The 12,424-nt window shown below is 43.6% G+C and overlaps 1 protein-coding gene across 10 annotated transcripts in view, besides 1 other annotated feature; it reads left to right on the top strand.

Moving 5' to 3' along the window:
- G3BP2 (G3BP stress granule assembly factor 2) overlaps window positions 1-12,424 on the top strand; it is an 81,652-nt gene that overhangs the window by 27,852 nt on the left and 41,376 nt on the right. For 4 of the 10 annotated variants that reach the window (NM_001400014.1, NM_001400007.1, NM_001400013.1 and 1 more), the window contains one exon: window positions 1,657-1,788. The exons of 4 other annotated variants lie outside the window; for them this stretch is intronic. The gene's annotated coding sequence lies outside the window, so the exon portion shown is untranslated. Of the gene's footprint in view, window positions 1-1,512; window positions 1,789-12,424 lie in introns of all 10 variants that reach the window. 2 more of the 10 variants (XM_047416466.1, XM_047416465.1) reach the window with 1 other exon arrangement.
- Window positions 237-286: a silencer, noted in NCBI's record as "silent region_15481". NCBI's record gives its function as "represses an Ori minimal core promoter by ATAC-STARR-seq in GM12878 lymphoblastoid cells {active_cell/tissue: GM12878}" and the evidence as "EXISTENCE:reporter gene assay evidence [ECO:0000049][PMID:35858748]".

Below are 12,424 nucleotides of genomic sequence, written 5' to 3'. Positions count from 1 at the left end.
ACATAACTCCTTTCTTCATAGGCAGCCTGATGCGCAGTGACCCTTCCACACTCTCAAAACCATGGACACCATGATGCTTTTTTGACCCCATTCCACATGGTGAAGGACTGTTGGCAACCATGGGTGCATTAGGGAGCCGCTGGCTTCCACTTTGAAAAGGAAGAAATATAACAAGTTCAGTTATTCCTTAGGACTAGGTAAGACTAGGTGATCCAGGTGATTTCTGAGAATGCCAGACATAAAAACGGGCAGCAGAGCCGGAGTTCAGTGTGCACTTGTCATAACCTAGCAACTGCACAGCCCAAACAAACACAGCTCAAACCTCACTACCATAAATACTAGGGTTTGTCTGGCTCCTCTCTAACTTCCTCAACACCTACTCTCTTAACCCCTTGCAGTCTGGTTTCCACCCCTTTCTCTGAAAAATCTTTTGAAGGTTACCTGCTTTTGGTCTATTTTGGTCTTTGTCTTATGTGTCCTTTCTTCAGTAAGTGGCTGTTAACCACCCCCTTCTTTAAATTTATTTTCTTCGCTTCTGTGAAGCTGTAGGATTCTGTTCATCTCAGGTGCTTTTCTGTTAACTCTTTTTTTTTTTTTTTTTTTTTTTTTTTGAGACAGAGTTTCACTCTTGTGGCCCAGTCTGGAGTGAAGTGGTGTGGTCTTGGCTCACTGCAACCTCTGCCTCCCAGGTTCAAGCGATTCTCCTGCCTCAGCCTCCTGAATAGCTGGGATTACAGGGGCCCACCACCACGCCTGGCTAACTTTTGTATTTTTAGTAGAGACGGGTTTTACCATGTTGGCCAGGTTGGTCTTGAACTCCTGACCTCATGTGATTCACCCGCCTCGGCCTCCCAAAATGCTGGGATTACAGGCGTGAGCCACCATGCCTGGCCTCAGGTGTTTTGGGCTTTTGTGTATGCGTCTTTGACTGCCAGAGTAGCTGCCTCCTTTCCCTCCCTCCCTTAAATGTGGCTCCTCTATAGGCTTTGACAGTCATCTGTGTTTCTCTTGGCACTCTCTTCTTGGCTTCAGCTCTTGGGAGATTGCTCCCAAATCTCTATTTCAAGCCTAACTTTTTTCCTAAGTCCCATACCCACATTTTTGGCTAATTTCTGGGGAGGTCCAGGTTGACTTTGCTTACCTTAGACTTCTTAGCCCAGCTTCTGTCTTGACCCTCAGACCCTAGACACCTGTACCTGTCACCTCCAGGCACAGACCTGCCCAGTGCAGGAGACAATCATGGCAGCAACTGAGAAGGATTACAGCTTATGTGGATCTTAGAATTGAGTCTGATTGCCGCAAATCAGGCAGGCCTGAATGGACCCTGGGGCACCTGAGTGGCTGCAGCCACACAGCCTTCCCTCCTTGGGTCCTGGGTGCTGCTGTTATTACTGCCCAGTAACTTCACTCTCCCTCCAGGTCTGATGCCTTTTTTGTTTAGGCCCTGAAATGTTGATTAGTTTTACCATGTCTCTTCCCTGACAACCAAATCCTGTTGTGTTTTTTCCCAAGCCCATCAGTGCTGAGTTCCTATCTACAGTGGTTGAGTCTTCTGGATACTGGCTCTTGAGCCACAGGGCCATTCTCCCGGATATTCATCGGGTCTTGACGATTACCTCTTCTCACAGTCCTGCCTTTCTTGTCTTGCTGCTCCAGTTTCCTTCATGTCCTTATCGCTTCCTGTCCAAATCTACTGAAAACCCCTTCGGCTGTTACTTCTGGATGTGATGTCGCAGTCTTTAGCCCATCCTGTCTGCTAGTGCCATCTGAAATCCTTCCTGGAACTTGGTAAGGTATAAAGACATAGTGGTTTTTTGTTTGTTTGTTTGTTTGTTTGTTTGTTTTTCGAGACAGAGTCTCGCTCTTGTTGCCCAGGCTGGAGTGCAATGGCGCCATCTTGGCTCACTGCAACCGCCGCCTCGCGGATTCAAGCGATTCTCCCACCTCACCCTCCCGAGTAGGAGTCTCAGGACTCCTTTTTTGAGACGGAGTCTCGCCCTGTCGTCCAGGCTGGAGTGCAGTGGCGCGATCTCGGCTCAGTGCAAGCTCCGCCTACCGGGTTCGCGCCATTCTCCTGCCTCAGCTTTCCGCACAGCTGGGACTACAGGCGCCCGCCACCACGCCCGGCTAATTTTTTTTGTATTTTTAGTAGAGACGGGGGTTTCACCATGTTAGCCAGGATGGTCTCAATCTTCTCACCTCGTGATCCACCCGCCTCGGCCTCCCAAAGTGCTGGGATTCCAGGCGTGAGCCACCATGTCCGACCCTAAAATATTTTTAAACACTCGTCCTGATCATGTTGTTGCATGGGAAAGTACCTTCAGGTACCTTGTACTTCAGGCCACAGTCCAAACTTATCAATGTGCTATTTGAGGCCTTCCACACCTACTATTGTGAGTGTTATTAATAGAGGGATTCTCCTCATCCTCTTCTTCCACGTTTTTCTCCGTCTTTTCCACTTTAATTCATTCATTTACTAAATAGTTACTGAACATCTAGTTTAGGGAAGCCCTGTCTCTTTAGCAGGGATTGAAACCTCAGATATGGCTGGGCATAGTGCCTCACACCTGTAATCCCAACATTTTGGGAGACTGAGGCAGGAAGATTGCTTGAGACTAGGAGTTCAAGACCACCCTAGACAATATAGTAAGACCCCATCTGTACAAAAATTAAAAAAAAAAAATTAGCCAGACATGGTGGTGGCAGGCTTGTGGGCCTCGTTACTTGGGAGGCTAAGGCCTGAGGATTGCGTGAGCCCAGGAGTTTGAGGTTGCAGTCCAGCTCTTTTTTTTTTTTTTTAGACGGAGTCTTGCTTTGTCACCAGGCTAGAGTGCAGTGGTGCGATCTTGGCTCACTGCAAACTCTGCCTCCCGGGTTCAAGCAATTCTCCTGCCTCAGCCTCCTGAGTAGCTGGGATTACAGGTGCCCGCCACCGCGCCCAGCTAATTGTTGTATTTTTAGTAGAGATGGGGTTTCACCAACTTGGCCAGGCTGGTCTTGAACTCCTAACCTCGTGATCCACCCGCTTTGGCCTCCCAAAGTGCTGGGATTACAGGCATGAGCTACCGCGCCTGGCAGACTCCAACTCTTAAAAAAAAAAACAAAAAAAACTCAGATACCTGGAGAGGCTGGCCAGTCAATACAGTGAAGCAGGTGGTGGTTGTAGCTGCAAAAAACTGGAGAGAGGATACCCCATCCCAAGGAAGTAGCAGCTACTGATGTCCTCATTGGTTCCATGTGGAACAGTGAGTCCATTGTTGCCAGACTGTCGTCTTTTTCGAGAGAAGCTAGACATCTGGATTTTTGTTGAAATTTCTCAGTTTTATTTTATTTATTTATTTTGAGAGGGAGTCGCACTGTGTCAGCCAGGCTGGAGTGAAGTGGCATGCTCTCGGCTCACTGCAACCTCCACCTCCCAGGTTCAAGTGATTCTCCTGCCTCAGCCTCCTGAGTGGCTGGGACTACAGGCGTGTACCACCACACCCGTCTAATTTTTGTATTTTTAGTAGAGACAGGGTTTCACCATATTTGCCAGGCGGTCTCAAATTCCTGACCTCGTGATCCACCCGCCTTGGCCTCCCAAAGTTCTGGGATTACAGGAGTGAGCCACCGCGCCTGGCTGAAATTTCTCGATTTTAAAAGCCAGCAATCAGTTCAGAAACGTTTTGAACACTGTGAGGGCTAAACAGAACATTGGAGCTGGGTGCGGCCTGCAGGCCACCAGTTTGCAACCCCTGCTCTCTAGAAACCCCTTCAAGACCCTCCATGTTGCTTGACACCTTGTGTTCTCATGACTTTTCCTTTTTTTCTTCATAGCCCATTATCTAGACTGCCCAATTTCATTCTCCTTGTTGATCTAAATACGAATTCCTACTTCATAAAGATACAATGCAAAGCCTGTTACATGGCATGCTTGGCTTTTCAGCAGCGGTAAAGACAGCATGAAAAGGGAAAACCAGAATCAGAAAAGAACTGACGCCGGGTGCAGTGGCTCACACCTGTAATCTCAGCACTTTGGGAGGCCGAGGTGGGTGGATCACAAGGTCAGGAGTTCAAGACCAGCCTGTCCAATATGGTGAAACCGCGTCTCTACTAAAAACACAAAAATTAGCTGGGTGTGGTGGCCCGCGCCTGTAGTCCCAGCTACTCAGGAGGCTTAGGCAGGAGAATTGCTTGAACCTGGGAGGCGGAAGTTGCAGTGAGACAAGATCACACCACTGCACTCCAGCCTGGGCAACAGAGCGAAACTCTGTCTTAAAAAAAAAAAGAACTGACAGGTGGTCTGGTTACCAAATCCTGAGAGGTCAGCCAAGGCAGAGATCAGATTCTCAATCTACAAATCCAAGGTTCCAGGAAGCCAGAGCACAAGAGGTTCCTTAACTTACGTTAGAGAGCAAGCACTAGGCACAGGGTTCTGAAGAACAGAAAGGAACATAATAGTGACAACACAATTGCTTTTTTGAAAAATAAAATTCTCCAATTTTTGAAGGGAAAGACAAAAGGAAAGGCAGCTAACATTTTTTAAAAACCTAATATGCCCTAGGTATGTCTCAAAGTCATACTTGAAGTTCCGAGAGATTAAATAGTTTTACACATCACAGAACTAATAAATGGCAGAGAATTTAGATTTTCAGTTCTTTGGGAAAATCACTAAAAATTCTTTCAATTTGGGCTGCATATTAGAATCACCTGAGGAGTATGCGTGTGTATGTGTGTGTGTGTTTAGGTAATGTATCAGTGTATTATATCAATATATAATGTGTCTGGACTTTGGTTCCCGGAGAGCTTTAAAAAAATTTGTATACCTATATTGCACCCCAGCCAATTAAATAGAATCTGTAGAGGTAGGACTCGGGCATCAGTAGCTTTCAAAGTTCCCCAGGTGATTTCAACGTGCAACCAAGTTTGGGAATCACCGTATTCATCCCCCAATCCCAGACTCCTGTTGAGCGCTGCTCATACAGAGAAGGTAAGCAGTGAGTAATAAATAGGTGGAGGTCGGGGGTGGGGGTAGCAGAATGAAACTCAGGTAATGTGATTTTCATTAGCTTTTTCTTCAAATGAAAATGTACCTTTGGGATGGGCACAGTGGCTCACGCCTGTAATCCCAGTACTTTGGGAGGCCGAGGTGGGAGGATTGCTTGAGGCCAGGAGTTTGAAACCAGTCTGGCCAGCATAGTGAGACCCCATCTCTAAAAAATGAATAAATGAAGGCAGTGGCTCACAACCGGTAATCCCAGCACTTTGGGAGGCTGAGGTGGGCAGATCACCTGAGGTCAGGAGTTTGAGACCAGCCTGGCCAACATGGCAAAATGCGGTCTCTACTAAAAATACAAAAATTACCTGGGCAGGGTGGTGCACACCTGTAATCCCAGCTACTTTGGAGGCTGAGGCAGGAGAATCGCTTGAACCTGGGAGGCACAGGTTGAAGTGAGCAGAGATTGTGCCACTGCACTCCAGCTTGGGTGACAGATCAAGAGTCTGTCTCAAAAAAAAAAAAGAATAAATGAAACAAAATGTACATTTGTACTCATTCTACTGATACCCAGTCTGGGAGTCAGGGGAATAAAAAAGGAGGGACCAGTGAACGACACTGAGCAATTAAGATTATAAGGTAATAGTTTTCCTGTTTTTTTGTTTAAGTGTACAGTTCAATGGTTTTTATACTATATTCTCCATGTTGTGTTACTATCACCACATTCAATTTTAGAACATTTTTGTCTCCCTGGTACGGTGGCTCACACCTGTAATCCCAGCTCTCCAGAAGGCCGAGGCAGGTGGATTGCTTGAGCCCAGGAGATTGAGACTACTCTGGCCAACATGGTGAAACCCTGTCTCTACAAAAAATTTGCCATGCATGGTGGTGCATACCTGTGGTCCCAGGTACTCGAGAGGCTGAGGTGGGAGGATAATTTGACCCCGGGAGGCAGAGGTTGCAGTGAGCTGAGATGGCGCCACTGTACTCCAGTGGGGGCGACAGAGTGAGAAAAGAACACTTTTGTCACTTCAGAAAGAAACTCCATACCTTTCAACCCTCAGTCCTGCTATTCCTCCACCCACTCATCCCCAGCCCTTAAGCAACAACTAATCTACTGTAGGTTTTCCTATTCTGGACTCTAATGTTGAATTTTTTCTTTTCTTTTTTTTTTTTTGGAGATGGAGTTTTGCTCTTGTTGCCCAGGCTAGAGTGCAATAGCACGGTCTTGGCTCACTGCAACCTCTGCCTTCCGGATTCAAAAGCTATTCTCCTGTCTCAGTCTCCCAAGTAGCTGTGACTACAGGTGCCCACCACCACACCCGGCTTTTGTATTTTTAGTAGAGACAGGGTTTTGCCATGTTGGCCAGGCTGGTTTCGAACTCCTGACCTCAGGTGATCCGCCCACCTTGGCCTCCCAAAGTGCTGGGATTACAGGTGTGAGCCACCGCGCCTGTCCTCTAATGTTGATTTTTAACCCAGGCGCTTTATTGAAGCAGGACCCATGATGACCTTTGTGAATTTAATTTTTTACTTTTCCTGAAATATAACATATTTACAGAAAAAAGCATAAACCATAAGTTTACAGATTAATAAAAATTGGCAAACTGAACTCTCCCATGTAACCAGCACACAGATCAGGATACCAAACCTTATTGCCACCCCAGAAGCTTCTCTTGTGCCCCACTGCTGACTTTGAAAATAATCAGTTTTGCTCCTTTTGAACTTTATACCCATATACTTGTAAAATATATCTTCTTTTGTGTCTGGCGTCTTTTACTCAACATTGTGTTTGTAGGATTTATGCATATTATTGCCTGTAGCCAAGACAGTCTTTGATGGTATTAAATTTGCCCCATTTCCTTCAGAACAAATTATTTGAAAAGGTTTATTGAAACTAAAATTCTTCAGATGATTTATTGAATAAGCCACCTCCCTTGGTCAGTGTAAAAATAATTTGATCCTGAAGGATTTGTTTGGGAATTTAAATTCAGAGGACTGGCATCATTGAAAACAAATGGTAGTAGCATCTTTCTCTTGCAGAGCTAGTTGTACAAGTCATTAAACTTGAAGTTCTTAAAAAGAGAATAGCAGTATTAAATTCAAAATGATTTACTAAGAATCACAATATATTATAAACATTTGACAAATACAAGAGATTGAATTACTTATCTGGGTCTTCTTGGAATTATTTTTCCATTGGCATGATTTGGGAACTACTTTTTTTTTTTTTTTGAGATGGAGTCTTGCTCTGTCTGCCAGGCTGGAGTGCAGTGGCGGATCTTGGCTCACTGCAACCTCCACCTCCCGGGTTCAAGCGATTCTCCTGCCTCAGCCTCCCCAGTAGGTGGGATTACAGGCATGCGCCACCACGCCTGGCTAATTTTTATATTTTTAGTAGAGACGGGGTTTTGCCATGTTGGCAAGGGTGGTCTCGAACTCCTGGTCTCAAGTGATCCGCCCGCCTCCCAAAGTGCTGGGATTACAGGAGTGAGCCTCCACGCCCAGCCTTTGGAAACTGCTTATAATTTTTCTCCCATTATTTTTTTTTTCTCTTTCACATCTTATATCCAATACCATAGGACAACCCCTTTCCTTGCCTAGGAGTGTTTAATAGGAGGAAAGACTAATGAGTAAACATATAGCTAGGGATGAAGTAGTGTTTTTACACCTACAAGGAAATGTAAGAATATGTCTTCTGAATTATTTATATCAGCAGTCATGGATTGATTGTCATGCTTTTGAAGTACACTATCAAGTACCATATAATTTACTCATCGTTTCCTTAGCAATTTCTTCTCTCTGCACACTTACCATTCTCAAACGAGCTAGTGGAATTCTTGCTAAACATGGCAAAGTAGTTTTTACAGAAATCTGTTCCCTGTGGAATTTCTTTTTATGGATCATCCAAGGTTTTTGCCCTTCAGAGTAAAGGACAAGGAGGATTTTTGTGAATCAGGCCTTACCTAATGTATTTGAACATTCAGGTGCCTTGGAGAGGGTAAGGAAAGGGGCAGGGGATGCAGGTTTTGTGCTGTGTCCTCTTCCCCAAAATAAGTCTCAGTTGCTCACAGAGTGACTGGGTTATGAGATTGATATCTTTGATCGAGGCCAACTGGAACATTGAAAACAGAGCATTCAAAGCATTGAAAACAGAGGCTCTGTGACATTTAAAATACACACAACAAACAAAATAGCCATAAATATGCTCCCTTCACTGGATACTACTTCCCTGATGTTGTGCCGAACCTCTATCAATCTTAATGGGGGCCGGGTGTGGTGGCTTACGCCTGTAATCCCAGCACTTTGGGAGGCTGAGGCAGGTGGAACACTTGAGACCACGAGTTTGAGACCAGCCAGGTTAACATGGTAAAACCCCATCTCTACTAAGAAAGAAAAATATTTAAAAATAAACTCTCTGTTCTCTATTAAAAAAAAAAAGAAGGAAGGCACCAGGTTCAAGAAGCCAAAGAAGAGACCATAAGCCAGCAAAATGAGACGTAGAGTTTTATTAGGGGGTTACATACAGGGGAGAGAGTCCAGTGGCAGTATGCACCTTCCTACAGTTCAGTGACCATGGGCAGCACAGTGTAACTGCATAGCCCAGTGGCAGCAGGCTGGGCAGGAAAACTGCAGCCACCTGCAAACATTATGCATTTTATATAGCATTTTTAACTTAACACCCTCCTAATAGCTTTCACTTGGCCACCTTCATTTAACACAAAACTCAGGGCCTCAAACCCTTGTATGGCCCATGTTCCACAGGACAGGCCAGGGGCTCAGTTATTTATCATAGACAAGGAGTGTATCTCCAAGTTGGCCACTCCTGGATTCCCTAGCTCAGAGCACACATTCAGGAGCATCTGTCATACGGGTCACTCTCAGGGCATGGTTAAGTTATTGCTTTTAGGAGTGTTTAGCCTACATGTGTGCCCATAAAATTAGCAATGATGTTTAGCCCTCACATTTGAGTTCTCCAAAAATGATTTGAAAAATGTATTCCTAAGCAAAGAGTTACAAATCATTCGTCAGTTTTACAGGTTTCTATGACAAGTGTTGTCTCAGCTTCTGCTGTGATTCTTTTAGATCTCACATCTTATAGGAAAGGTCATCAGACCTCTATTAGTTTGTTTTCACACAGCTGGTAAAGACATACCTGGGACTGGGATGAAAAAGAGGTTCAGCGGACTTACAGTTCCACATGGCTGAGGAGGTCTCACAATCATGGTGGAAGGCAAGGAGGAGCTAGTCATGTCTTACATGGATGGCAGAGGGCAAAGACAGAAAGCCTGTGCAGGGAAACTCCTGTTTTTAAAACCATCAGATCTTATGAGACTTATTCACTATCATGAGAATAGCATGGAAAAGACCTACCCCCATGATTCAGTTATCTCCCAGCTGGGTCCCTTCCACAACCCATAGGAATTATGGGAACTATAAGATAAGATTTGGGTGGGGACACAGAGCCAAACCATATCAAGACTCCTGCCAGTTAAAAAAAAAAATACTGCTTTTATGTATGTAGGTATGTATGTATGCATGTATTTAGAGATGGGGGTCTTGCTATGTTGGCTAGGCTGGCATGGAACTCCTAGTCTCAAGCAATCCTCCTGCCTCAGTCTCCTCAAGTGCTGCGATTGCAGGCATGAGCCACCATGCTCAGCCAAAAGTACTGCTTTTAAATGCTTTAAATCTCAGTTTACAGAGAAAAGTAGGGAGGAAATGCAGACTATTTATGGAAGTTAAGCCCAGATTTCAAAAACTTAATGTCTTTGCTCACCATAGAAATAGGTATTCTAAGATGAAAGTGCTTATTTGAACAAATATTTTTGCTAGAATGTATTTTATTTTTTTCTAGGGTTTATTATATACAGTGGGAAAACTTGAAGAAAAAATTTCTTTAAATGCCATTTCCCCCCTTTGTGAGATACCACACTATTGTAAGCCATGCTCTACTTTAGACTTGATCTTGTGGTAATACTGAATTGCTTGTGGTTGCCAGCACATGTTAGTGCTGTGCCACCCGCCCCCCCACCCCCACCCCCCGCCACCCACCCTTTGCTCTTGCTGTTCCTTCTGCCAGGACAGCTATGTCAACCACTGCACTTCCTTCGCTGGCTCATTCTTACACCACCCACCACCTTCAAGACTCAGCTTAGGTGTCATCTCCTCCAGGAATTTGGAACCTGTAGTTTGACATTATTTCCCCATTTCCTCTGTTCTCACTGTACCCTGTACAAATCTGTCTGAAACCTTATTGTGTTACTGTGATATTAAAATTCTTTTTTGCCTGTGTCTCTTCCATTAGCATATACACTCCTTGAAAGCAAATGATTAATATGATTAACTACATGACCATCTTTTTGTTTTTCTTTTACTGGCCTTTTCCAGATTTTAGGTTTAGTTAAATAATCCTTAATGGAAAACATGTGCAGCTTTGGGAAATGAACACTATCATTAATTTGTCCATTGAACAAACAATTTAAATAAAGATTCTATCTAATTTTCAGTCTTTAAGCACACTGTTAGTGCTGAGCAAATATGGACTGGAATACCCATTTTAAAAAATTGTCTCATTCCCTGCTTTTGCTCTGTGTGTATGTGTGTGTGCACATGTGTGGTGTATGTGCACACACTTCCCTTCCTTTCTTCCTTCTCTCCTTCCTTAACTCCATATTATTCTGTTACACTGGACATTTTTCTTCTAATTTTCAAAGGGCAGTTCCTTGTTTATGATAGTTACTGTCACTTTATAGATTTGGTTTCCAAAACTACTCCAAAGGAGACAGTTTATTTCCACTTAGGAACCATGTCTGGAAGCTATGTACCTGTCACCCAGTGAAGAGTGATGTCTGCGTTATGACCATACTGTCTAAAAATAATCACGATAGTTTATATTTATGTGGTGCTTTGTGTGTCAGGCCCTGTGCTGAAAACCATGTATGCAACAGTTCTAACTGCAATTGTGCCTTTTTATCAATGAGGAAAGAAGCTGAGGGAACTTAGTAACTTGCCTAGCATCATATAGGTTTTAAATACAGAGCTGGGATTAAGAACCAAATACCATCAAATTTCAGGATCTGTGTTTTTGGTTTTTTTTTTTTTTTTTTGAGACGGAGTCTCATTCTGTCCCCCAGGTTGGAGTGCAGTGACGCGATCTCGGCTCACTGCAACCTCCACCTCCCAGGTTCAAGTGATTCTTCTGCCTCAGCCTCCTGAGTAGCTGGGATTACAGACATACCTCACCATGCCCAGTTAATTTTTGTGTTTTTAGTAGAGACAGGGTTTCACCATGTTGGCCAGGCTGGTGTCAAACTCCTGACCTCAGGTGATCCACGTGCCTCGGCCTCCCAAAGTGCTGGGATTACAGGCGTGAGCCACCATGCATGGCCTGTTTTTTTTTGTTTTGTGTTTTTTTTTTTAATAAACTTTTAAAAAAGTGTTTATTTTCAAAATAAAATATGTATAGATTAATAGGAAGTTGCAAAGAAATGTACAGGGAGGTTCTGTGCAACCTTCACCCATCTCTGCCAATATTGGTATCCTATATAACTACAGAACAAGATCAAAATCAGTAAATAGTTCAGCATCTCACAGTTATGACAAACTGAGGTCATTGATTAACAGAATTTTAGTGTAACATGACTTTTTAATAAAAAATAGTATTCTTTATACTATAAAGCCTTTATTTTGATAACTTATTACCAGGAAATATATCGAAAAAGAGCATGGTTTAGATAATTGGTTTTTAACCTTTTAGGACATAGACCCATTTTAGAAGACAATGAAATATGGATCTTTTCAGCAAAAAAAAAAAGAGACATACATGTATACAGAATGTTCATGGTTTCACAAACATTCCCTATATCCACCCTTCCAAAATATGCTTAGGCTTCAGATTAAAAACTCTGGTTTAGCTGGGCATGGTGGCATGTTCCTAGGGAGGCTAAGGTGGGAGGATCACCTGAACCGAGGAGTTTGAGGCTGCAGTTTGCTTTGCCATGATTATGCCTGTGATTGAATAGTCACTGCACTCCAGCCTGGGCAACATAGCCAGACTCTGTCAAAAACAAAAACAAAAAACTTCTAGTTTAGAGCAACATTTAAATAAATACATTTACTTTAAAAAATCCAGAAACTTGTTATATTTTTTATTTTTTTATTTATGATTTTTATTTTTATTATTTTTATTTATTTATTTATTTTTTGACAAAGTCTAACTCTGTCGCCCAGGCCAGAGTGCAGTGGTGTGATCTTGGTTCACTGCAACCTCTGCCTCCTGGGTTCAAGTGATTCTTCTGCCTTAGCCTCCTGAGTAGCTGGGACTACAGGCACATGCCACCATGCCTGGCTAATTTTTTTGTATTTTTAGTAGAGATGGGTTTCACCATATTGGCCAGGCTGGTCTCAAACGCTTGACCTCATGATCCGCCCACCTTGGCCTCCCAA

Source organism: Homo sapiens, chromosome 4 (assembly GCF_000001405.40).
Source record: "Homo sapiens chromosome 4, GRCh38.p14 Primary Assembly".
Taxonomy (NCBI): domain Eukaryota; kingdom Metazoa; phylum Chordata; class Mammalia; order Primates; family Hominidae; genus Homo; species Homo sapiens.
This window is presented reverse-complemented; position numbering and strand designations above follow the sequence as displayed.